At 38.2% G+C, this 27,226-nt stretch overlaps 2 protein-coding genes across 2 annotated transcripts in view; both read right to left on the bottom strand.

Moving 5' to 3' along the window:
* Positions 1-5,980: 5,980 nt before the first annotated feature.
* On the bottom strand, positions 5,981-10,145 carry LOC124901693 (uncharacterized). Its single transcript, XM_047421159.1, has 3 exons — positions 9,160-10,145; positions 7,824-7,999; positions 5,981-6,100 (listed from the first exon to the last, which is right to left on the bottom strand). The coding sequence occupies exons 1-3, from the start codon at positions 9,275-9,277 to the stop codon at positions 6,020-6,022; spliced, it is 375 nt and encodes a 124-aa protein (XP_047277115.1). The 5' UTR covers positions 9,278-10,145; the 3' UTR covers positions 5,981-6,019.
* The window catches only part of PTTG1IP2 (PTTG1IP family member 2), a 43,759-nt gene continuing 22,513 nt past the window's right edge, over positions 5,981-27,226 (bottom strand). Inside the window, exons 5-7 of the mRNA NM_001365443.2 lie at positions 27,069-27,139; positions 24,948-25,011; positions 5,981-6,100 (exon numbers count right to left, since the gene is read on the bottom strand). Coding sequence (NP_001352372.1) covers positions 24,998-25,011; positions 27,069-27,139 — 85 coding nt within the window. The 3' untranslated portion in view covers positions 5,981-6,100; positions 24,948-24,997. The remainder of the gene's footprint in view (positions 6,101-24,947; positions 25,012-27,068; positions 27,140-27,226) is intronic.

Raw genomic sequence — 27,226 nt, 5'->3', positions numbered from 1 at the left:
ATATTTTGCCAGGCATCTTTGAGGAGAAATTTTAGAGAATCAACAACACTTGATTAAGCATTTTTGAACTGTAAGTTTTTTCTTCTGCTCTCCTGTGGCAAAAAACAAACATAAAACAAAAAACCATATTGGCAATTGCAGATGTTTATAAACATTCCATTATTTTTTTTCTGTTTTAATTATCTTTAAAGATGAAATAATCTCTGTCTATAGGCTAGAGCAGCAAGTTTATGCAAGAGAATATGAAAACATCCTTCCTTCCAGTAGAATATGTATCCATAGTGCATGATGTCCACTGAGGTTTTGTAATATTTTTACATGCAATGTTGCTATTGCAATTATTATCAACAACCTATAATGTTTTGTACATAGTAAGCTTTCAAATGGTGTTAGGATTCAACATGGGACATAAAGCCTAAGAATGGAACCAGATTCCCTAGGGTTTCAGTATTTGATTTCTTCTAAGGGCAGACTAGAAGACTGCCCTTAATATAATCTATGTGTTTTGGGATTTTTTTATGGTGATGAACAAAGTAAACATTTGAGCTGGAAATCACTGGAAGTATTCAAACCAAACAAAAGGGTAATAAAAAGTAAACCTATCCTTAACTTTAAAACCAAGCATGGGTTCTTCTGGTTGATGGGTGTATAGTTGAGAAAGCATTTTTCTCCAGAACTATTCAGTTTCACTGACGGGGAAGTCTTTTATGGCATGATAACCAATTATTGAATGATTTTATACATATTTAAAGGAAAAGGTTGAGCTGCTATCTCACAAAGAATCAGCTTCTTATGAGACAAAAGCTGTGTGCTTGAAATCCTGTCTCCACTCTGAAAATCACATAATCTTGGGCAGTTTATTTTGCCTTGTTTAAAAAATTTCTTATCTATAAAATAAATGTGCTAGTATCTATCTCAAATGATTCATTTAAAAAATGAGAAAACCACCATTTTCTTGAAGTAACTTGCCACGATCACCAATAACAATGTCAAAGCTGAACTAAGGAAACTAAGTTGAACTAAGGTCTCCTAAATCTAAAACTCGATCTTCTATTTCCAAGTATATCATTCAATCACCTGATGTAAGACATGCTAGCAGCTGTTATTAAATAGGTCATTTTTGATCCCTCACCAGATGGTAGCTTGGGTGTAAACACCACCCAAAATTCTGGTTAGAATGGTGACTATCTCGGAACCTAGGCTCCTTTCTCTTTTCTAAATTTACTTTGTTCTCTCTGTCCAAAGCTGACATTTTCTGGATTTTCTTGATTCAGCATTATTTATGCAAATGAAGAGTTTCCAGTAATTCAACAAAGCTAACAAGTGTCTCCCCAGTAAGAATCAAACAGAATGGTACCTGGTGGGGAGTAAGGTTTTTGGCCAGACTGTTGCTGGGTGGATAGAAGGGCCTTAGGAAGAATTCATCAGAGTCAGCTTTAATTTATATGCTGTTCATTTTAAATCCTAATATGGATATAATGGACTCAGAAGCATAAATGAAAATCATAAAATCTCAGTGCTTCATGGGTTGCCAGTACTTCCAAATGATTGCTATGCTTTCAAAATAGTCACCGTGGAAAGCCCTATGCTTTTTGAACAACTGCTGAAGCCATTTCAGATTTTTCTTTTTAAATTGTTATCACAGTCAGTTTGGCCCCTCCTTTTCCTTGCTGCCTTTTCATTTTTCCTCTCCCATGCACACAATTAGTTCTTTATAGCCTAGCCCTGACTTTGACCAAAAATGGATGCTCTAAAACAATCAATTACCTGTTCATCACATATGGCTCTGAATGCCTTTCTGCTATTTCAAAAACAAATTCTATGTTTCCATTTCTCAACCATCCTTAAAGAATGATGACCTGCCACCATGAAGATGTACATCTTTCAAATGTTCTGCAGATTGTTAAGAATATTGCAAAGGAAGAGGTCCAAAGACATTTTAAATAATATTAGGAATGCCAAAATAAGTGAATAATGTCCAATAGTGAACACTCTCAAGGGGAAAAATTACTTTTGGTACTTCATTTTAGTATGTTAAAAGATGAGCCAAATTAAATTACAGCTATACTTTATACATGTATAAACCCTATGCATGGGTTTGGGTGTGTATAATCATAAAATCTCCTGCATATTTATAAAATGAAAATTAAAACTGAAAGGAAGCAGAAGAAAAATCAGCATGTAAAATGCCATGAAGGGAAACACCTGCTGGGAAAACAGAAATGTAAAAAAGATCTAATAGGCTTCCTTCATAATTTTACCCAGAAAAGTGGTAATATTTAGAAATAAAAATGTGAAAAGGCAGTAGCATTTCAATGTTTTTAACACATTTAAAGGCTCTGCTCCATGGTCAACATATCAAGAATCTAAAAACCTGTAATAAACTTTTGTTTTTTAATATCAATTTCAAAATACATTTTATTCTATTTTTTAGTTGTTTTATTTTAATTAGTGAAATTTTAGGAATAAATTTTAATGTTATCAACTTTAAATTTTATGTCTTCATGATGTAATTCTCCCAAAGATGACATTTACATTTTAGCCAGATGCTTCATTTTGTTGCATATCACTGAAAACTTAGAAATCATAAATGCACTAACCTTTTACTCCTAAAGCATGCACACAGGCACTCTTTAATAATTCAAGGACCTTTCTATAATGATGAAGTCATACTGATGAACTCAACAGGAAAATACTAATACGATTAAACAAAGCTTAAATAATTCATTGTAGAAACGAGGCATAATAGAGCAAGAAAAATAAATTCTAGCTGCTCAAAATATTTCACTTTTTCTTACACCAATGCATATTTCTTAAATCATAGTGACAGTTTTTCTTCTCTTTTGTTGAAATACGTGACAGCTATTCATATACTGGAGCAGGTGCAAAAGATAAATGCTTTCCTATTAAAATCAAGAATGTCAGCATTCTATATGCAATGATGGGCAGACCTCCATCATTTTTGCATAAGTTATCTCCTGGGAAAGCTATCACTAGACCTTATTACTACACTATCAACTTATTCTCATCTCAAATTATTTTTCTTCAAAGGCAGTCAGCTGATTTGCACTTTACTTTCTTAGATTCACTGATTGATAGGTGATGAAAGAAAAAAGTCACCCAAAACAGAAAAAAAAGGTTATTAATAATTTCATTTAACACAAAAAATCCAAAATTTAATCATTTGGAAATAGTATTGTGTATTTTGTAATTAGGATTATCAATAATTACTAAATACGGCTATATAAAATAATATTTAAAAACTGGAAAAACTAAATAATTTTTGTGAATAGAATCGTGTTAGATTCTAAAATGAATTGATTAGAGCCAGTCATGAAGAAATTAATTTAAAAACTTCTGTTGTAATGGAAATAAAATAAAAGTTCTTACTATGGCTTAATGTTTTTCATTTCTTTTACTTAAAGATGATTATGCATTTTTTCAGATGATTAGAAATTAAAGGCCATACTCAGGTTGTGTAATTAAAGGATGATTTTTTTTCATGATTTATTGAGGGTGACATGATATTCTACAGAGGATAACACAGTCTATCTGAATTGTTTTGAGCCAAGAAAACAAATCAGAATTTCCTATGGTGAAAAGAGAAAAAAAATGAAACTCTCCCCAAACCATCAATTAATGAGATTTTGAAAAGTATGTGAAAATATCTACAAGTAGGGAATTAAGAAAAACTAGATATACTTTTAATATTCTAAAAGTTAACATGCTTTTGAGATATTAATCCCTCTAAAAAAATAAAATATACTTAAATCTAGCAATGACTTTTTTTTTTTTTCGTATATACATTCCAAGGGGCCTCACTTTGTTGCCCAGGTTGGTCTTAAACAACTGGCCTCAAGCAATCCTCCCACCTAAGCCTCCCAAAGTGCTGGGATTACAGGCGTGAGCCACCACTCCCGGCTGGTAATCTTATAAATAGTCAAAATAAGTACAACCTCCAGTTATTCTTCCTAATTTTTCTACGTGTAAGCATCCCACCTTTATCTAGAATTAGGAGATTAAAGCTCTAACCTGTGGCAAGTTTAATAAAGCTTGAATGTTGTGGCCTCCATCTGTCTGTTCACCATATCTTAGTGCCAGAACTGTATTTCCAACAGACAAATGAGACAGAATGATTTACCCAGCATGCATATCCCCCAAGAATGTTACTGAAAAAAACTATCACCAAGATAACCATAAAGGCAAACTGAGAGTACTATAAGACATCCTCCATTCACAGTGAGGTTCAGCATCCACTCTTAAGTGAGGACAAACTCCCAGAAACAACTAAGGGAAACTCGAGACAGGAGAAACAAACTCAGTTGTCTAGATGGCCTTACTTAATGGGGGCAAAGGCAGAGGAAGTTCTGAGATTCTGGTGGAACAAAAGAGCTTACTTATTTCCACATTGCTATTTCAGCTCCTTAACCAAAGTCAAAATTTCTAGTAGAGAAATCAATCTTTGATCCAATGTAAGATCTGTCTTGCTGGAGTTACAAACAGAAAAATTTAGTTTTTCCTAGCTCAAGCAATTCCAGCCTTGATATCTTTAAGGAATACTTTTAATATATATAAAATCCAGCTTCATTCACCACCACTATGAAAGTGGATCACTTTTTTCTTACAATTTTTAATATCACATGCCCTGTACTCTCAAGCTCACCTGAAGTCATGTTTATTTTATATCAAAGTACTGCAAATAGCAAAAATATCAAATATACACTTATACTTTCTTCTTCCAAATTTTGCCTAACAAGTGGAAGTTATGAAAAAGAAGTTGGTGAAATAATTATTAATGAATATAACAGAACATTACTGAATTTTAATGAAGAACTATTGATATTGAAACAAGTCTGGCATAATTTTATTTTATTTTTTATTTTTTGTTTGTTTCTTTGAGACGGAGTCTTGCTCTGTCGCCCAGGCTGGAGTGCAGCAGTGGGATCTTGGCTCACTGTAACCTCCGCCTTGCAGGTTCAAGTGATTCTCCTGCCTCAGCTTCCTGGGTAGCTGGGACTACAGGCACCCACCACCACACCCAGCTAATTTTTGTAGTTTTAGTAGAGATGGAGTTTCACCATGTTGGCCAGGTTGGTCTTGAACTCCTGATCTCAAGTGATCTGCCTGCCTCAGCCTCCCAAAGTGCTGAGATTACAGGCGTGAGCCACCGTGCCTGACCTATTTTAAAAATTCTCTAATATTCTCCTTAAATTGTAAAGAGTCTTTATTTCTTTTATTTGGGAAATAAAAACATCTATATATTTTAAAAACATATTATCATCAATTCAACCAAGATTTCATCAAAAGATCCTAATAATACCAATCATTACCTCAAATGGGAGGCTTCTGAATAATGGACCATTTTGTGTAATAATACATGTAAACAAAATTATAATTGATTTTTTTTTTCCGAGATGGAGTCTTGCTCTGTCACCCAGGCTGGAGTGCAGTGGCACAATCTCGGCTCACTGCAACCTCCACCTCCCAGGTTCAAGCAATTCTCCTGCCTCAGCCTCCTGAGTAGCTGGGATTACAGGCATGTGCCACCATGCCCAGCTAATTTTTATATTTTTAGTAGAGACAGGGTTTCACAATGTTGGCCAGGCTGGTTTCAAACTCCTGACCACATGATCTGCCCACCTCGGCCTCCAAAGTGCTGGGATTACAGGCGTGAGCCACCTCCCCTGGCAGAATTGAAGTATTTATTTACTGTCTGGTAACACTGACGAGAAAATAACAATGTCAGACACTATCACAGGGTATACCCTCCAATCTTCAAACCGTATGTAAATTTATACGTCAGGTGCCTGAACATTCTATATTTATACCACTTTATGTTCAAAGAGAATCTACATTTGAAGATTATGAAATGAGCTAGGAAGAAGAACTTTTGAAAAGTCAAAAAAATTTTAACTATAAAAACTTATTTGAAGATATTTTTCAACCCTTATGATCTCAAATTACTGTACAAGTCATAATGTAAAAGTAATGAAATACTCGAAAAAATGTTTAATAGAATTTAAAATTTTAACTTCAGGGAATTTGGAAGTTCAATCATTCTCAAAGAGGCTGTAAGGATGATTAAAATCCTGAAGGAAGCCTGAAAGAAAAAAGACACATTCATTATTGGAAATACAATACAGTGCTAACTCTCAAGTTTCACCTTCAAACTAGAAAGCTTAAGTTCAAGGCCGTTACACCAATTTTTACAGAAATGTAATGTTTTCCAACTCCTGATTCATCCCTTGAAAAGCTGTACATGGTTAATGATTATCAACTTAAATTAGCCACATACACCAGAGTAAATTGGAAATGACAAGCTTCTTCAATTACCCAAACTAACATAAACGATTTATTTCCTTCTGCCAACACGAAAGGGAATGTTCATGAAGGATCTCATTGACTCACCCTGCACTAAGGTTAGAAAGCTCACTCAACACAAATATTCCCAGAAAGGGTTCAACTTGGCAGTAAAGAAACCATCTATTCCAAAAGGTCACCACATCAGTTCAACTTTTCATCTGCTAAGAAAGAAGTCCTGTCAAAGTCTGTTACTGTAAAGCAGCAGCTGTTCTGTAGAATAATATCGTCCAAAAGACAATTGTTTTTCTTATTCCCCAGTGCAACTCCTCCATTTCAACAGACTACTTCTTGTCTTCCTTGACACTATTGTTAGTCACAACCCCATGTCTTTGCTCTTCCATCTCAAATGTCTACTTCCAAATATTTCTCTACATTTTTATAGTCTAAAGCTCAGCTGAACATCACACCTCTCAGTCTACTGCAACCCCAACTCTTTAGAATGGCCAATAAATCCTGACATAATCTTATCCCCGAATATTTCTATAGCCACAAAGAACTTCCAGTTTCTCTAACACCCCAAGCTCTGTCTCTCCTTGGAGCCTCCACCCGGTTCGTCCCTTCTCCCACTTGTCTTCTAGCTGACTCCTTATTCTATTTTTGTCTTTGCTGAAACCCTACTCCTTCAATAAATAGGCCTTTCCTAGTTATTGCAAGTACATTCTCCACCCTTCTTTCCCCTAATTTTACTCCCTTCTTTTCTTCCCAGCAGTGCCACAATTTTAAATTATTGGCTTTGCTCTTCACTTTTTTTTGTATCCACCTAGGAATATAAGCTCCACAAGGGCAGAGAGCATCGCCTGTGTTGTACAACTTATATTCCCAATGCCTGGCACAAGGCAAAAGCTCAATAAATGTTTATTTAATCAGCTCCATTCTACTTGGAGCTATCTTTTTCTGACTCCCTTTATTCTTATCTGATCCAGAGAAAAATAATCTTATCACTTACTCAATCTTATCATTACTATTCAAGTCAACATGTATAACGACTCTATGTCAAGAACTATAAGGTGCTGCTATTGCAGCTGCTATTTACTGAGTGTTTATTATGTGCAAAGTATCATATAGAGAAGTATTCTGAGCAATGCCCAGGCTGAGTGGAAGGAACACAGTGATCTGTAGCAATATGTTAGCTCATTGTATCACCACAACCATGTGAACAACCAATTATTTTTAATCCCTATTTTACAGATGAAGAAACCGAGACATAGAGAGGTTAATAATATGCCCAAGATATCACAAACAGTAAGTGATAGAGCTGGGATTCTATACTCTATTGAGTAAAACACAATTTCCCTCTTAAGATGAGTATGAGGAGAGAGGGAAAAGTAAAGCGAGCTGGCAATTCCAGAGGAAAGAGACAACATCTGCTTAAGGAAAACCAGTAAAAATTGTTTGGAGATGGCAGTGGAAATAAGGTTTGAAAAAAAGTTAAGAGTTTTAACTACATTATAAATAAATACCTGGAATTGGTGCAAGCGCCTCTTATCAGAAAGAAAATGGTGAGACCAACCATACGGAAAAAGAGATATTAACTGTGCACAGAAAATAGTAATGGCAGGGTCATTATCCATTGTTCTATCTCTTGAGCCCAAATTGTGAAGGTCCTTTCCTATATCACTAAGGAATTCAGCCATGGCTAAAAAGGGAATAAAGATGCAATCAAGGTTTAAAAGTTACTGTGAAAATTACAGTATATCTGTTCTCTAAGTTATTAGTAACACTTGTTTATTATCTGTTTCTGGGGGCTATCCTCTCAGCAACTAGATTTTAAGTTTTTTGATGGCAGGCACTATATCTTACACTTTCCTAAGAGGGGTTATGAAAGTTGACTCTTGAAAACATCAGTGGACAAGAAGAAGAAAAGTTAGAGGAGACTAAAGAGAGGCCAGACACTATACCAGGTGGTGCCAATGGCACAGTGATTACAAAAAAAAAAAATACTGTCCTTGCCCTCAAGGGGCTTGTATTGTCACAGAGATGATGACTGGTGTAAGTTCTGACAACAGAGTAAAGAGAAGAAATACAAAAGATTATAGCTCCGATGTCTGCAAAACAAAATTACGGTATTCCAGAGTTAACTCCAATAGATATTTAATTACAGTGGTATTTTCCAAGTTTTTAAGCACCACATTTTCAAGACTAAAAACAGTAAATTTCTATGATAATGAGTACTCATAAAACAAAAGCTGCAACACAGTTATTTACATAGAACAGTGGAAAGTCTCCTCCAAAACTTTATTGATATGGTTACCATCTCCTCGGTGAATAATTTCACACAGCATTTGCTTTTTTACATTGCCTGCCTGTGGATTTCTATAATAAAAGTTCTTGAACTGGAGAAACTTCAAAAACTTTTCTTCCTCTTTCAGTAAGAAGCAATTACCTTCAATTTTCTTCACACATTCCTACCATACTTCCATTAGAATATTTATCCAAAGTCCCAAACAACTAAAGACACACACATAGACACAGGCAAACATACATGCATGCATGTGCGTGCACACACACACACACAAATAAAGCTCGTATTAGGAAAGGGCTGAGTTAAAGGTGTGTACATGATTCTCCCTTATTTATCCTATTGAAGGCATATCATTTTTTTTCATTCATTCACTCTAGAGAGCCTGACATTTAGCATCATTTCATAAATCTAGGCTACTGCAGAGCTGTGCTACCACAAAATTATAAGGAGTCAATTTGCACTTTTTTTTCTTTTGTTTTTTCTTTTCGGATAATATGTAAATATGTGTGATAAACTAGGCACTGACAATCATAGAAATTTAATTTTAACAGTACCTTGGAAAGCCTTTAATTGAGGGAAAGCCAATTTAGGCACAGTGGTCCCCGCCCTTCCACACAGGGCAGATATTGCTACAGATCCCAGTGCTCTTTCCCACTGAGCCTGGACATTCATTGCTCAGATGACATCTCTACATGATGCTCCCAGGTAGCCACTGTCTTGTAAAAGAAAACATTTATGGTATATGATTCTTCTCTTAGTATGTAAAATGCATCCTGCAATTCAAGGCACTTTGGAAAGCTACAATCTATTTTCAGCTACTATAGGACCTATTATTTAGTGAAGTGCGTCTTAGTACCTTGAAACATCCTAAGATTTTAAAAGCATTACTGTAGTTTACAAATATTAATAGGTTATGCATATGAACAATGTTTGCTTGCACTCTGCATTTGGTGCTCCTGACCACCCTTATACTGCACCTCAGCACTGTGTGTCCCAGCCCACTTGCCCTGTGAGTCCCAGCCTCCAGCTTCTTGCGGGAAATCACAACTTCTATCCACACTTTATATTAAGGCTATCTTGAAGGGTCCACTCCACAGTCACTCTCACCCACACCCCTGGCTTCATGTTTGTAAACTGTTTCCTCACTAGGTCTCTAGCGCAAATATCCCCAGCTCCAGATTCACAATTCCAGCTTCTGGTTGGAGTTACTACATGCATGTCTTGCTATCACTACTAATTCAACATGCAGACTTCATCCTTCTCACCAAAACTTTCTTGCCCTTCCTCCTGTTTTCCTCCTTTATATTAACAGCATCCGTATCTTCCAGCCACCCACAGTGGAGACTTTGGGGTCTCTTCCAGGGACTCTTTTTCACTCCCTACTTCTAAATGATCACCAGGACTTGCCAATTCTAACTTGAATGTCATTCAAGTCTGTCACTTCTTCCCAGTTTCCAGTGCTACCACCCTTGTTTGGGCTCTCATCTGTGCTCAATTTAATGCCTAGCAGTCTCCTCCTGACTGGTTTTCCTGACTGAATCTTTCCTTCTTTAAACCACCCACCCAACCCACTTCCCCATCCCCCCAATAACACCATCAAGGTATGTTTCCTTACAAATCTGATTATGCTGTTGTCCGCCCCTCCAAAAAAAAAAAAAAGCCTTCACATTCCTTCAAAATAAAGGCTATATTTCCATGTCATCTTTAAAATAAAGTTCATATCCCTATGTGGAGATTTCAAGATTCCCCACAAATAAGGCCCAAGTGCCTTTCTCATCACAGAGTCATGATTGAAAGCTCAGCCTCTGAAGCCAGATTGCTCACCTCACCTGTGCGACATTGAGCAGGGCCACTGCGCACACATGTCTAGGCTGAGGGTCCCGGCACAAGGCTGGCTGAGGGATGAGTGAGTGTGGAAGCATAGTCCACATACCATTCACCACGCTACGTTTCAGCACAGGGCTTCTACAGCCTCAAAGTAAGTGGCACCATTGTCTATCTCACATAAAGGCAATATAAAGGCTTAGTTTCCTTGTCTTAAAGTACGGCTAATATTAGGATTTACCTCAAGGGATTGTTGTAAGGTTTCAATGAGTTAACACATGTAAAGTCCTTAGAACAGTGCCCAGAATATTATAAATGCCCAAAAAGTGTCAGCTGTTACGTTCTCACCTTACCTGTTCCTTATACTGTAAGTGAATAGCAGAATTTATTTACTATTGCTCAGGTATAATCTGTACTTTTTCACCTTCATGTCTACTGTTTATTCTGATTCCTCCCCCGAAAATGTCCTCCCCTGAAAATTTCCTCCCCTAGCAGCTCCAATCTGCCTGTTGATAAACTGTACATTCTTGAAGCTCAGGTAGGAGACCATGATACCTCCATTAAGCCTTATTTGATCTCCATGTACTACATGAGTTCTTTAGGCTTTAACTCAACTCTTAGGTGCCTAACATGGAACTTACTGTAGAAATATTTTTTCTTTTCTTTTCTTTTTTTTTTTTTTTTTGAGACGAGTTCTCACTGTTGCCCAGACTGGAGGCAGTGGCGCAATCTCAGCTCACTGCAACCTCTGCTTCTTGTGCTGAAGCAATCGTTGCACCTCAGCCCCCCAAGTCACTGGGACTATAGGCGTGCACCACCACCATGCCTGGCTAAATTTTTTTTGTATTTTTTTGGTAGAGACAGGGTTTCATCATGTTGTCCAGGCTGATCTTGAACTCCTGAGCTCAGGCTATCCACCCACCTCAGCCTCCCAAAGTACTGGGATTACAGGTGTGAGCTATTGTGCCCAGTCTGATATTTTATAGTATCTAAACTTATACTTATCTCAAGGGCTTGTCTTCCTTGAAAGATCTCAAGTGCCTTATGGTACCCTGTAAAGTTCCTCTTTATGATCTCACAGCGCCTCTAGAATTACAGTGACATAATAGGCTCATAATAGGTAATAATATAACCATTTATTGAGCATCTACTATGTGTCAGGTACTATAAAAAGTGCTTTATACATGGTATTTAAATTACATCTCACACAGCTTTTGTAGCATTGTTTCCTTTTATACAGGAATACTTAAGTCATTTAAATAATTTGCTTAGTGTTAAACAGTGAAAAACTGTTGGGGCAGAGATGAGAATCCAAGATATTTCTGGCCCTGAGATTGAGCTCCTTCTACTTCATGGCCCTATCTTGCCTGGCTCCTTCCCTTGCCCGAGAGCCCAAGAATCACCATTTAGTGATTATGTATTATATTCTAGGAGTTTTTCCTAAATTATTCCTAACCCTCCTTGAAAAATGGTTATTATTTTTCCTGTATTCCAGATGAGGTAATCAAGTCTCAGAGATGTTAAACAATTTACCTTAGGTTTCACAGCTAGTAAACTCCAGATGCAACTTTGAGCCTAACTACAGAAGCCTCCTGCCCACTCCACCCTAACTCCTCAAAAATGCTTGTCACATTTTAGGAGAAGTCCCTTGAGAAAAATGCATTGCCCTTACTATTATCAGGGTTTCATTTACGTGGTTTTATTTTATTTAGATAGCTTTTCACAGAAATCATCACTACATACACTTACAGAAAAAAATGTTATCCCTACACTGTATTTTGATCACCTTTTGTCTTTATACATTGACTGCCTAATTATTATAACTAACTTCGCAAAAAACAAGTGCTGGTCCTCCCAAGAATTTGATGAAGTTTTACATCAAAGTGATCTTGATATTGAAAGAATAAAAATTGTTTATACAAACAATAGGTCAGGAATATATCGAGTGACCCATATTCTGTACTGGTCATTGTTAATTTCACCAGACCATTAAGTTTTGCCTGAAACCTCTAGAAGATCAGTAAAAAATACCACACCAGAGAAATAAGTAGTTACTGATACAGAATACCAAAATGAATCTTGAACTTAATGCAATGCACACAAAGCAGAAGGAAAAAAGGAAAGATGAAGAATTAGAATTACCCATTAGATTTTAAAATAAAATAAGAATATAACTTTTTTTGAGACAGGGTCTTACTCTGTCACCCAGGCTAGAGTGCAGTGGCATAATCATAGCTTGCTGCAGCCTTCATCTCTCCAGCTCAAGCCATCCTCCTGCCTCACCCTCTCAAGTAGCTAGGACTATAGGTGCATGCTACCATATCCAGCTAATTAAAAAAATTTTTTTTAGTAGAGACAGGGTCTCATCATGTTGCTCAGACTGGTTTTGAACTTCTGAGCTCAAGTAGTCCTCCCTTGTTGGCCTCCCAAAGTGCTGGGATTACAGGTGTGAGTCCCCAAGCCCAGCCTAAGAATACAATTTTTAAAAGGGAAAAAATGGGGGAAGAATTAATGGAAATTAATCTGACTTATTTATGAGAAAATGGCACTCAATACCAAACTGGCATGTATGCAGTAACTGCCAAGGTAATTAAAATACTTAAGATATAAATGTAATTGAAAATTACATGACTTGAATGTCATTATTCAATTTTACCAATGCTCCCGATTTAGTTGGAAAAAATTGTATTGGTTTTCAGTGAAAAAAAAGTGCAAGTGAAAATAGAAAAAAAATTTAATAGAACCAAAATCTTCCCAAGCAAAAAAATAACTCCAAAAATGTATCCCTCATTATGAAAGTCCTAGGGTTTCTAGAGCTCCCAGAGGACTCAGTAAAACTAGAGATACTTGCAGTGCATTGTAAGTGTGTAATTACCATTTAAATGAAGGGAGAAAAGCTGGTGAGTGAAATGAGAAACAGGCATTTTCTTTTTTTTTTTTTTTTTTTTTTTTTTTTTTGAGACGGAGTCTCGCTCTGTCGCCCAGGCCGGACTGCGGACTGCAGTGGCGGAATCTCGGCTCACTGCAAGCTTCGCCTCCCGGGTTCAAGCCATTCTCCTGCCTCAGCCTCCCGAGTAGCTGGGACTACAGGCGCCCGCCACCGCGCCCGGCTAATTTTTTGTATTTTTAGTAGAGACGGGGTTTCACCTTGTTAGCCAGGATGGTCTCGATCTCCTGACCTCATGATCCACCCGCCTCGGCCTCCCAAAGTGCTGGGATTACAGGCGTGAGCCACTGCGCCCGGCCGAAACAGGCATTTTCTTATAGCCAACCAGGAACTGACATTTCAGGCAACAATCATCTAATCTACAGTGCGGTTAACAAAGCTATTGTCATTCTGCCACTCATACTCACTCTTAACTGACACTTTTCCCTACCAGAAGGAAACAGTAGGTTAAGTCTTTCTCCATGATTTTGAGTCACAATTTGTTCATTAGGCTCTGGCCTGCTTAGTATGTAATTTAACAGCATATATTTACCAAAAGACAGCCAAGACACATAAAGGCTTCTCTTTAATTCTACCTTTTTAATTATTTGGGCATCCAAATTGTAAAAGCAAACAAAATGTCAGAGTAAATTCCTATTGGTTGTACAATCATGATGGTTAAGAATCATCTCATCTCACCTGCAGTCCAACAATAGCTTTCTCTGCTAACATCCATGTTTGTGGATTTGGCTGGGCAGCAAGTTGGATGTAGAAAATATTATTGCCTTTTTCTGAAAAGGCATCGAATACCCTTTTCAAATATGGTTAAAAGTTATCACATAGATTTCAAAACTGGAAAACTATCAAATGTGTTCTTATTGAATAGGTGCATAATGAAGTATAGAGTGTAAAATATTTGTCAAAAACACACAGATTAACTGGAGAGACCCCTCTCCCTGCCACATGTGTTTCAGAAGTCAAATCTTTTCCTTTTGGGTTGCTGCTAGCATGAGATTAGCTAAGTCTTATGATATGTTTGGCAAAACCATGTGGGGTTTATTAGTGTGGCTTATGTTTGTTGGATTAATCGTTGTTTCTACCAAACAAACAAACAACCCTGAGTATTTCTGAAGTAAGAATATAAATGTCAAGCATGACAAGATTAATAAATCATGAAAAGGAAGACTGTTGTGCACACATAATCAGCCATGAGACAAAAGTGATGGGGTTGTGGGTTTCATAGGGCTACTTTATTCCAGCTTTCCCTTTATATCTTCTTTCAGCTGTTTTATTTGATATCTTTTAAAAATCTGTTGCAAGTCAGTGAAACAAGTTAGGTAGACCCTTCCAAGCCATTCAGTGATCTTTCTGATCATCTAAACCAACAGGTCCACAAACTATGACTCCCAAACCAAATCTGGCTCTCTGAATGCTTTTGTAAATAAAAATTTATTGAAACACAGCCACATACATTCATTTATGTATGGTCTATAGCTGTTTTCACACCACAACAGCAAGGTAGTTGTGACAGGGATTATAAGGCCCCAAAAGCCTAAAATATTTACTACCTGGACCTTTATAAAGAAAGTTTGCCAATCCTTGATTTAAACTTATCTCTTACTGTTCTAGGTGAAAATTACGCTCTCTGATACAACCTTCTACTCTATCCCACTCTGTCCCATTAGATGTGCTTTTTTTTTTTCTCTTGACATGGAGTCTCACTCTGTCGCCCGGGCTGGAGTGCAGTGGCGTGATCTTGGCTCACTGCAACCTCTGCTTCCCAGGTTCAAGCAATTCTCTGCCTCAGCCTCCTGAGTAGCTGAGATTACAGGCACCCACCACCATGCCCAGCTAATTATTTTGTATTTTTAGTACAAATAGGGTTTCACCATCTTGGCCAGGTTGCTCTTGAACTCCTGACCTCGTGATCCACCTGCTCCAGCCTCCCAAAATGCTGGGATTACAGGTTTGAGCCACCATGCCCAGCAGATGTGCTTTTTTTCTACTTCACCAAACCATCCCATTTTTCAATTATAGGCATATCTTATTTTATTGCACTTCAATTTAGCGTACCTCACAAATATTGTGCTTTCTACAGATTTAAGGTTTATGGCAACTTGGTGTCAGGCAAATGTGTCGGCACCATTTTTCCAATAGTATGTGCTCACTCTGTGTCTCTATCACATTTTGGTAATCCTCACAATATTTCAAAGTTGTTCATTATTGTTATATCTGTTATGGTGATCCATGATGATGATCTTTGATGTTACTATTGTAATTGTTATGGGGGTGCCACAAACTGCACCCATAAGAGACAGTGGACTTAATCAATACATGTTGTATGTGTTCTGACTGCTCCACTGACTGGCCGTTCCCCAATCTTTCTCTTCTCAGGCCTCCCTCTTCAGTGAGACACAGCAATATTGAAATGAGGCCAGTTAATAACCTGACAATGACCTCTAAGTGTTCAAGTGAAAGGAAGAGTTGCACATCTCTCACTTTCAATCAAAAGCTAGAAATGATTAAACTTAGTGAGGAAGGCATGCCAAAAGCCAAGACAGGCTGAAAGCTGGGCCTCTTGTGCCAAACAGCCAAACTGTAAATGCAAAGGAAGAAATCCTTGAAGGAAATTAAAACTGCTATTCCAGTGAACCCAAAAATGATGAAAGAGCAAAATAGCCTTATTGCTGATATGGAAAAAATTTTAGTAGTCTGGATGGGAGATCAAACCAGCCACAAAATTCCTTTAAGTCAAAGTCTAACACAGACAAGGCCCTAACTCTCTTCAATTCTATGAAGGCTGAGAGAGGTAAGGAAGCTGCAGAAGAAACATTGGAATCTAGCAGAGACTGGTTCATGAAGTTGAAGGAAAGAAGCCATCTCCATAATAAAAAAGTGCAAGGCGAAGCAGCAGGTGCTAATGTAGAAGCCTTAGCAAGTTATCCAGAAGATCTACCTAAGATCATTGATGAAGGTGGCTACACTAAAAAATAGATTCTCAATATAAACAAAGCACCCTTCTGTTGGAAAAAGATGCCATCCAGGGCTATCATGGCCAGAAAGGAAAAAGTCAATGCCTGGCTTCAAAACTTCAAAAGGACAGGCTGATTTTCTTGTTAGGGGTTAATGGAACTCATGACTTTAAGTTGAAGCCAGTGCTCACTTACTATTCCAAAAATCTAAGGACACTTAAGAATTATGCTAAATCTACTTGCCCGCACTCTATAAATGGAATGCCAAAGCCTAGATGATAGCACATCTGTTTACAGAATGGCTCACTGAATATATTAAGCCCACTGTTGAGGCTTACTCCTCAGAAAAAAGATTCCTTTCAAAATGTTAATGCTCATTGACAATGCGCCTGGTCACTCGAGAGTTCTGATGGAGATGTACACAAAGATTAATAATGTTTTCGTGCCTGCTAAGACAACATCCATTCTGCAGCCCATGAATGAAGAAGTCATTTTCACTTTCAAGTCTTATTTAAGAAATACATTTCCTAAGGCTATAGTTGTCATAAATAGTGATTCCTCTGATGGATCTGGGTAAAGTAAATTGAAAACCTTCTGGAAAGAATCCACCATTATAGATGCCATTAAAGACATTCATGATTCATGGGAGGATGTCAAAATATCAACATTAACAGGAGTTTGGAAGAAGTATATTCCAACTCTAATGGATGACTTTGAAAAGGTTCAAGACTTCAGTGAAGACTGATGTGGTGGCACATGCCTATAATCCCAGCTACTTGGGAAGCTGTGGTGGGAGGATCACTTGAGGATCATTTGAGGTGGGAGAATCACTTGGGGAGAAGGACTTCACTGGAAGAAGTCACTGCAGATGTGGTGGAAATAGCAAGAGATTAGAATTTGAAGTGGAGCCTGAAGATGTGACTGAATTGCTGCAATCACATGATAAAACTTGAATGGATGAGGAGCCACTTGTTATGGATGAGCAAAGAAAGTAGTTTCTTGAAATGGAAACTACTCCTGGTGAAGATGCTGTGAACATTGTTGAAATGACTACAAAGGGTTTAGAATATTACATAAATGTAATTGATAAACCAACATCATGGTGTGAGAGAATTGATTACAATTTTGAAAGAAGTTTTACTGTGGGTAAAATGCTATCAAACAGCATCACATGCTGCAAAGAAATCTTTAATGAAAGGAAGAACGAATCATGTGGCAAACCTCATTGCCACAGCAAACCCAAACTTCAGCAACCACCACCCTGATCAGGCTGCAACCATCAACACCAACGGAAGACCCTCACTAGAAAAAATGTTGTGACTTTCTAAATGTTCAGATGATTGTTAGCAATTTTTAACAGTAAAGTTTTGTGGGGGTTTCTTGAGACAAGGTCTCACTCTGATACCCAGGCTGTAGTGCTGTGGAGGATCAGAGCTCACTGCAGCCTCAAACTCCTGGGCTCAAGTGATCCTCTCACCCCAGCCTCCCAAGTAGCTAGTACCACAGGTGCACACCACCATGTCTGGCTAATTTTTTAAATGTTTCTGTAGAAATGAGGTCTCACTATGTTGCACAGGCTGGTCTCAAATTCCTGGTCTCAAGTGACCCTCTCACCTCGCTTCCAAAAGTTCTGGGATTACAGGTGTAAGCTACTATGTCTGGCCATGTATTTTAATAAAGGTATGTATGTTGTTTTTTAGACATAATACTATTGTACACTTAATAGACTACAGTATAGCGTAAACATAATTTTTATATGCACTGGAAAACAAAAAAATAATGTGTGACTGGCTTTAATGTGATATTTGCTGTATTGCAGCATTCTGGAACCAAACCTGCCTGTATCTCCTTTTTCTAGTAAATATTATGTTTACATATCTTTCCTTTTTCAGTTACTATCACAGTTAATTTCATTCCAAAATTCGCTTAACCTGAATTTAAAAGTGGTCATATGTGGCCCAATCTCTGCTTTGGGTCAATCCAAGGTAAAATCAATTCAAAAACAATGAAAATATATAATTGAAATAAATTTAAATGTTTACTTAGGGTCTAAAGAAAATGCTAACGAAGTAAAGGAGGAGTATGCTCTTAATGAATAATTGAACATTTCTAAACCCTATCTTCCCAGAATCATTACTCTCAATATTCCCCTAAATCAATGACAGATGTTGTGGTGGATGCTATGGTGTGCTGCACAGATATTCCTTTCAGGAACAAGGTGCTCATACCTCCAGACACCAGGCCCTCTTTGGAAATTGCCCTAGCCAATGCAGCCAGCCACCTCACTTAAGGTTAAATCTCCTTTTGGAGGGCCTCCCACATCTAATGATGGTTGATATTGGGATTTGGGCCATAATTTGGGACAATTCTAAAAGGAAATCCCAGTTCCAGAGTGCCCCATAAGATTGACTGAGGCCTCCCTTGTGACTACATGACACTTTAACTGTTCCTTCTACCCAAGTCTGCTTCTCTCTGACCCTTACATGTGTTACTCCTGAGGGAATTCCCCAGTTAACTCCTGCAGGCAAGTCTCTGCGTTGGAGCCTAGTTCTTGGGGATCCCAACTTAAGACAGCTGTTCTCTTTAAACTCTTTCTCTCATCCCATTCTCCCCCAAACCCAGTCTTTCTAGCTCTTTATTCCTTCCTCCTCACTGTCTTGTTTCCTCACATTCCTGAATCAATTCTTTTTCTCATGATAGAGTTAACCATCTATTCTTTAAATTTATAATTTGTGTTAGTGTGTTTCAATGCCTTATTCTAACCTTTCAAAATATTCCCTTATAGAAGGTAGTTTTGGATTATCAGGATGAATTGTTTGTTTTGTTTGTTTGTTTCTGAGACAGAGTCTCCCTCTGTTGCCCAGGCTGGAGTGCAGCGGCACAATCTTAGCTCACCACAGCCTCGACCTCCCCAGGCTCAGGTGATCCTCCCATCTCAGCCTCCAAGTAGCTGGGACTACAGGTGCACACCACCAAGTCCGGCTAATTTTTTGACTTTTAATAGAGATGGGGTTTCACCATGTTGCCCAGGCTAGTCTTGAACTCCTGATCTCAAGTGATCTGCCCCCCTTGGCCTTCCAAAGTGCTGGGATTATAGGCCTGAGCCACTGCACCCGGTGAGGACTAATTGTTTTTAATGTTTTACAGTTTTATTTTTAAAAGAACACTGGCCAGGTGCAGTGGCTCATGCCTATAATCCCAGCATTTTGGGAGGCTGAGGCATGCGGATCACTTGAGGTGAGGAGTTCAAGACCAGCCTGGCCAACATGATGAAACCCGTTTCTACTAAAAACACAAAAATTAGCCAGGCATGCTTGCATGCGCCTGTAGTTCCAGCTACTCTGGAGCCTGAGGCAGGAGAATCGCTTGAACCCGGGAGGCAGAAGTTGCAGTGAGCCAAGATCAGGCCATTGCACTCCAGCCTCAGCAACAGAGCAAGACTCTGTCTCAAAAAAATAAAAATAATAATAAAAAAATAAAGAACACTGATCAAAAAGCATTTAAAATTGTACCTTTTTACATTATGCATTTAAAAGTCTTTATATGATTATTATATGGCCAACTGTAGAGTGAATGCTGTTCTGCAGTTACATTGTCCCCCTACAATAGCATCTTGATTTAAAATGAAATGTTCTGGTACAAAAGTTGGAAAACAAGGACACATAGGAAGACAACAAATTAAAAGAGAAAGAAAGAGGAGAAAGGAAACTAAGATGAAACAAATCAAACAAAACTATAATAGATTTGTGAATTTCCGTTGCATGCAGTACTTCTGCAAACTCTAGACTCATTATCTTTTCCAGAGCCAAATATTTAATTTTGTGAAATTCCTAGCATTGGCACAAGTTAAAATAAATAACTCATCTTTATTCTGCTTAAACTTAAAAATTGTTAAAAAGGGCCATGTGCAGTGGCTCATGCCTGTAATTCCAGCACTTTGGGACGCTGAGGTGGGTGGATTGCTTGAGCCCAGGGGTTCGAGACCAGCCTGGGCAATATAGTGAAATCCCATCTCTACAAAAATCACAAAAGTTAGCCAGGCATGGTAGTGAGCATCTGTAGGCTTGGATACTTGAGAGGCTTAGGCCAGAGGATCAATTGAGCCCAGGAGGTGGAGGCTGCAGTGAGCCATGATCATGCCACTGCACCCCAGCCTGGCTGACAGAGCGAGACCCTGTCTCAAAGAAAAGAAAATTAAAAAAAAATTTTTAAAAGGAAACAGAAAGAGTAATAAGAGGTGGAGAGAAGTTAAATACCATTACCAGATATTAAAATAGCTTATATATCCTCCACAATTAAAACATTATGGTATTAGGAAACTATTATCCAGATAGATCAATAGCAGTGAACAGATGCACAAAAATATACTCAAATGTGAATGGAAATTTATGAAAAAAGTTTCATCTTATATCACTGGTGTAAAAAAGGCTTTCACAATAAATTGTGTTGGTGTAGTTTTCATTATATAATGACGTTCTTTGTCTCTTTTTATAGTTTTGGACTTAAAGTCTATTTTGTTTGATATAAGTATAGCTACCCCTGCTCTCTTTTGGTTTCAATTTGTGTTGAATATCTTCTTCCATCTCTTCACTCTCAGTTTATGTGTGTCCTTAAAGATGGTGAAGAGAGTCTCCTACAGGCAGCATATAGTTGGATCTTATTTTTTAATCCATTCAGCCCCTTTATTTCATTGGAGAATTTAACCTATTTACATTCAAGGTGATTATTGACAGGTAAGAACCTACTGCTACCATTTTATGGTTATAATATAGTAATAAAGGGATTCTCATGAGGTCAGGAGATCGAGACCATCCTGGCTAACACAGTGAAACCCCGTCTCTACTAAAAATACAAAAAATTAGCCAGGCGTGGTGGCGGGCGCCTGTAGTCCCAGCTACTCGGGAGGCTGAGGCAGGAGAATGGCGTGAGCCGGGGAGGCAAAGCTTGCAGTGAGCCGAGATCGTGCCACTGCACTCTAGTCTGGGCAACAGAGCGAGACTCCATCTCAAAAAAAAAAAGGGGGGGTTCATTCATCAAGAGGATATAACAATTATAAATATACATGCACTCAACAAAATATATGAATATTAATAGATCTGAAGGAAGAGACAGGCAATAATGCAGTAATAGTAGGGGACTTCAATAACCCACTCTCAACAATGGACATAACATCCAGACAAAAAGATCAACAAGGAGACATAAGACTTGAACTACACTTTGGACAAATGGACATAACAGACATATCCACAGGGTTCTATCCAATGGCAACAGAATACATATACTTCGGCTTCTTCTTCTTCTTCTTCTTTTTTTTTTTTTTTTTTTTTTTTTTTTTATACAGGGTCTTTCTCTGTCGCTCAGGCTGGAGTACAGTGGTATGATCACGGCTCACTGCAGCCTCAACCTCCTGGGCTCAAGGGCTCCTCCTGCCCCACCCTTCCTAGTAGCCTGGCTAACTTTTTAACTTTTTTTTTTTTTTTTTTTTTTGAGACGGATTCTCGCTCTGTCGCCCAGGCTGGAGTGCAGTGGCGCGATCTCGGTTCACTGCAAGCTCCGCCTCCCGGGTTCACGCCATTCTCCCTCCTCAGCCTCCCGAGTAGCTGGGACTACAGGCGCCCGCCGCCACGCCCGGCTAATTTTTTGTACTTTTAGTAGAGACGGGGTTTCACCATGTTAGCCAGGATGGTCTCGATCTCCTGACCTCGTGATCCGCCTGCCTCGGCTTCCCAAAGTGTTGGGATTACAGGCATGAGCCACTGCGCCCGGCCTTAACTTTTCTTTTGTAGAGATGAGATCTTGCTCTGTTGACCAGGCTGGTTTCAAACTCCTGGCCTTAAGCAATCTTCCTGCCTTGACCTCCCAAAGTGTTGGGATTACAGATGTGAGCCACTGCACCTGACTGACATTCTTCTTCAGCACACATGGAACACTAACGTAGACCATATGTTAGGCCACAAAACAAGTTTTTACAAATGTAAGAAGATTTAAATCATATCAGGTATCTTTTCTGACCGTGATGATATGAAACTAGAAATCAATAACAAGAAGAAATTTGGAAAATTCACCAAAACATGGAAATTAAACGACATTCTCTGAACAACCACGGGGTCAAAAAAGAAAACAAATGGAAAGCAAAAAGTATATTGAGACAAATGAAAATTAAAACACAATATACTAAAATTTATGGGATGCAGCAAAAGTAATTCTTAGAGGGAAGTTAATAACAATCATGCCTACATAAAAAAAGAAAGATCTCAAATTAATAACCTTATGTTACACATCAAAGGACTAGAAAAAGAACAAACTATGCCCAAAGGTAATAGAAGGAAGGAAATAATAAAGATCAGGGCAGAAATAAGATAGACACTAGAAAAACAATAGAAAGAATCAACAAAACTGAAAGTTATACTATTATAGTAAGAAGAGTTAAAAAATTAAAATTAAAATAAAAAATTAACAAAACTAATGGTTGGTGTTTTGAAAAGATAAACAAAATGGTCAGCCCTTTAGATAGACTACAAAAAAAGAGAGAGACTTAAATAAAATCAGAAATGAAAGAGAAGACATTACAACTGATACCACAGAAATATGAAAGATTACGAGATACTGTGAAGAATTATACACCAACAAATGGGATAGCCTAGAAGAAATGAATACATTCCTAGACAAATACAACACACCCAGATTGAATTCTTAAGAAATAGAAAATCTGAACAGACAAATAATGAGTAACAAGATTGAATCAGTAATAAATGGTCTCCCATAAAAGAAAACCCCAAAATCTCATGGCTTCACTGCTGAATTCTACCATTTAAATAACTAATACCAATCCTTCTCAACTCTTCTCAAAAACTGAAAAGGGAATCCTTCTCAATGCATTTAATGAGGCCAGTACTATCCTGAAACCCAAGCCAGACAAAGACACTATGAGAAAAGAAAATTGCGGGCTAATATCCCTGATGAATATAGGTGCAAAATTCTTCACAAAATACCAGTAAACTGAATTCAGCATCACATTAAGAGGATCATTTATGTCAGTGGGGAAAATCTCGAATAATGGAATTACCAGGTCAAAGAGTACTCCCCCCCAACCCCAAATTTTAATAGATACTGAGAGATTGCCTTCTAAAAAGTTTCTATAAATGCCAAATCCCAACAACAACAAATAAATGTGCACATTTCCCTTGCAACATTGGGTGTTAACCATCATTTCTTGCTGTTGTTTGCCTAGGGCACCCTTGGTTTTCACCTGCTCTCCTAGCATAATTCTTAATAGTGGCCCTTTCACTCTTAAAATGGGCCCAGTTTGGAAGATACATGGTCACTCTACTAAACTTTAAAACTGATACATATTGTCTCTTCCCTAGAGATTCTCCAGGAGGCTCTGTAGGCTTCTGGAAGGACTTGCATTCTCCTCCCTCTCCCTCCTATTAACCTGCACTGACTCCTTCAGAAGCCATAGAATTATGGAATGTGCCTCTAGCTAGAGACCTCCTTTCTGTGCAGGTGGATGTAGGAGGTGGCAGTGAAAGTATGCCTGTATGTTTAACCTTGCTGAAAGGCAAATGTGCACACACACACATACACACACAAAGCCAAATTTGTAACTATGTTGTAATCCAAAGGATAGTCCCTAGCTGTCCATCATTTGACATGCCATAGATGTTGATAAGAGGATTCCAGCACTGGAAGAGGTGTTGGGTAGGATGAACTTTAAGTGCCTTCAGTGTTGAGATTCTGTGATTACAGTAGTAACAAGTGACACTTATTAAGAACTTACTGAGTGTCGGGGTAGTTCTAGAAATTTTAGCTGTAAAATCTCATTTTGTCCTCAAAGTCACCAAAACAATAATTTAGTCACTGTTTTTAGGTAATATTAACAAATTAGGAACTAAGGCACAAACAGATTAAGTTAGTTGTCTAACGTGGCATACTTAGTAAATGGATAGCCCAGATTTCAACAAAGGCAGCCTGAACTGTTATATCTCCACTTTCTGCTGCCTTCCCTTTTAATGGTAGGGGTTGGGCAGAGGGGAGGATTGATGGGGGTCTCTTTGTCGTCACCCAGGCTGAAATGCAGTAGCGCAATCATAACTCACTACAGCCTCCAACTCTTGAGCTCAAGCAATCCTCCCACCTCAGCCTCCTGAGGAGCTGGGACTACAGGCACATGCAACCATGCCCAGCTAATTTTTTATTGTTTGTAGTGATGGGGTCTTGCTATGTTGCCCAGGCTGGTCTTGAACTGAGCTTAAGTGATCTCACCTTGGCCTACCAAGTTGTTAGGACTGCAGGTGTGAGGCACCACACTGGCTAATTTTTAAATTTTTTTGTAGACATGGAATCTCGCTATATTGTCCGGGCTAGTCTCGAACTCCTGGCCTCAGGTGATCCTCCCTCTTCCGCCTTCCAGAGTGCTGGGATTACAGAGATCAGCTACTGTGCTTGGCCTTCTGCTGCCTTCTATTACATGTTTTGGGCATTGAAAATCTGCCTACATTTTACAGATTTGATTTCCATTTTCTTTCTTAATAATTCTAATTATATTCCTGAAAAGTGGCTTAATAGAACGGAGAAAATGGCATGCAGAAAATTCACGCAATATAATTTGAAACCTTACCATTGAAGAAACTTCCTTCTGCTCTTTCTGGAGGATCTCTTTTCAATTATCTATTCATCATATACTATGAGAAGAGAAAATAAATTTATCTTTTCAAATTCTATCTAGGAAAAGTCAATAAAAACTTACGTAATTTTTAAAATGTTAAACATGAAACATTCATGAATAATAAAAAGATTTCTGAGATTTTAATACTGTTGCTATTTTAATATTTAGGGCTCAAGTGACTTAAGGTACTATCAACATGTAATTGACAAAAAGGAAAAGATCAGATATTTGATGGTGACCACAAGACTAGTTGTCTCCAGTGACAGAAAAGCTGTGGATGCTTAATGAATGCTTAATGAATCCCTAATCCCAGCAAACCATCTTCTGAATTCATTTTCTAGGAAAGAAGTGTGGACCAAGAAGGGCACTATTACCACCAATCCTGAAAAATAACTGTCTTCACAGGTGAGGAGTATCGCAGTGTACAGAACATTTTATAGGCTCCATATTTTCCTATTCCACAATCAGAAGCCTGTTTATTCTATGTCTTGCATAAATACTCTGAAAACTACCATATGCAAACATCTTACCAATCATCTTCCAATGTGTAAGTCCAGAGGACACTTATGAATCTCTCTCCCTCCGTCTTCAGACCCCTTTCTCTTGATGTCTATGACACTGCAGTCTCCCACTTTTTCATCTTCTTCTCAATTTCTTTTGCAGAACCCTGTTTCACTTACTCAAGCCTTTAATGTAGGCATTCCCATTGGGCTCTCTCATGGGTGAAAAATCATCCTGCCTTGTGAATTTGACTACACTTTATTCCCTACAATGAATCTGACAATTCTCAATCTGTGTAAAGATAACCGTGTCTACCTAAACTAAATAAATACCTAACCTTGTGCTCTTTTCAGTGTTTTTCCTGGGTCAATGTGTTGTCGAATTTAAAATGGATGGGGAAAATTGAAATGCAGCATTATTCTCTGCAGCCCCCTGGTTTGATTTCAACCTTCGGAAGAAGCAGCATTTGTCCTACACTTTGGCTCCTGTCCTAAAATAGCTTTTTGAAACATTTCATGATCCAATTATCACCCAAACAATTTCTACATAACAAGGTCTAGGAGTTGACAAAAGAGTGTGTATGTGCTTACCATTTCATCCTTACCCTAAAAGGTTTACCCTGTTTCTCATCCAGATTTTGCAACCTCAAAGTATGGGTCCTGGGCTTTTCTACATTCCCTATCATTATGCCCCTGCAGCCCAAAGCACTAAAATAATCTGAAGCCCCCCCGCACCCTGCAAAGTTATTTATTAATAGTAATTATAAAGGACTATGCAGTACTCTTTCCTCAGTCATATTATCATGATGTAAAATTTTTTTGTGGTCCAATTAAGTGAACAGGGAGATCATGATTTTGACTCCAGTTGGGTTTTCAGGATCCAGACCTGGGTAGAGGATTGGGAGTGCCTGCCCAGGAACTGTGGGTGATCAGCCAAAGGAAGCCAAGATTTGAGTCCTGGATAAGGGAAAGCTTTGTAAGTAAGGGAAAGTTTAGAATTGAGTTGAGGAGAGCGGATAGGAGGTTAGCCAAGGAACTAGGTAGATGAAGTGAATTAATCTGGGAAAGCCTGCAAGAATTCCTGAAGACAACGGTCATCTTTTGTTGGGTTGCTTTTGTGGAGTGCGAGTTGGGGTAGCAGGGGAAGCTATGAATATCTCCGACTGGGTTGGAAAATTTTAGCCCATCTTTATCAATATTGTGATTTTACCAATCCTGGTATAGCTATTGAGGTTACCAAAATGTATCATGGAAATGGGAAAAATGAAATCTGTTGTTATGAGTCCTACCATACTTTGATTTTTGTTGTTGTTTTCAGAGACAGGGTCTTCCTCTGTGGCCCAGGCTGAAATGCAATGGCGCAATATGTATGCAATGCAATGTGTTCACCATAACCTCAAATTTCTAGCCTCAAGCAAATCCTCCCACCTTGGCCTTTCAAAACATTGAGATTACAGGTGTGAGTCACTGCACCTGGCCCCTACTCATGCTTTAATTTTGATGTTTGGAACAAGGGAGCAAGCTGTTACTGAAGGAGTCTGGGACATTCCATCAAATAAACGAAAACACTTGCCAGTAGCACTGCGGTCGTGAATAGGAACTGTTTCTCGTCTTCCATAAAAATAGACACGATTTCTGTTCAAACTGATGGTGAATTTAGAATTAGGCTTATTTTCAGAACAGTACAAGTTATAGTTGGAACTATTATTTTTTCATTAGATAGACTACTTT

This window comes from Homo sapiens, chromosome 7 (assembly GCF_000001405.40).
Source record: "Homo sapiens chromosome 7, GRCh38.p14 Primary Assembly".
In the NCBI taxonomy this organism is placed as follows: Eukaryota; Metazoa; Chordata; class Mammalia; order Primates; family Hominidae; genus Homo; species Homo sapiens.
The sequence above is the reverse complement of the archived record's forward strand: the minus strand, read 5'-3'. Positions and strand labels throughout refer to the sequence as shown.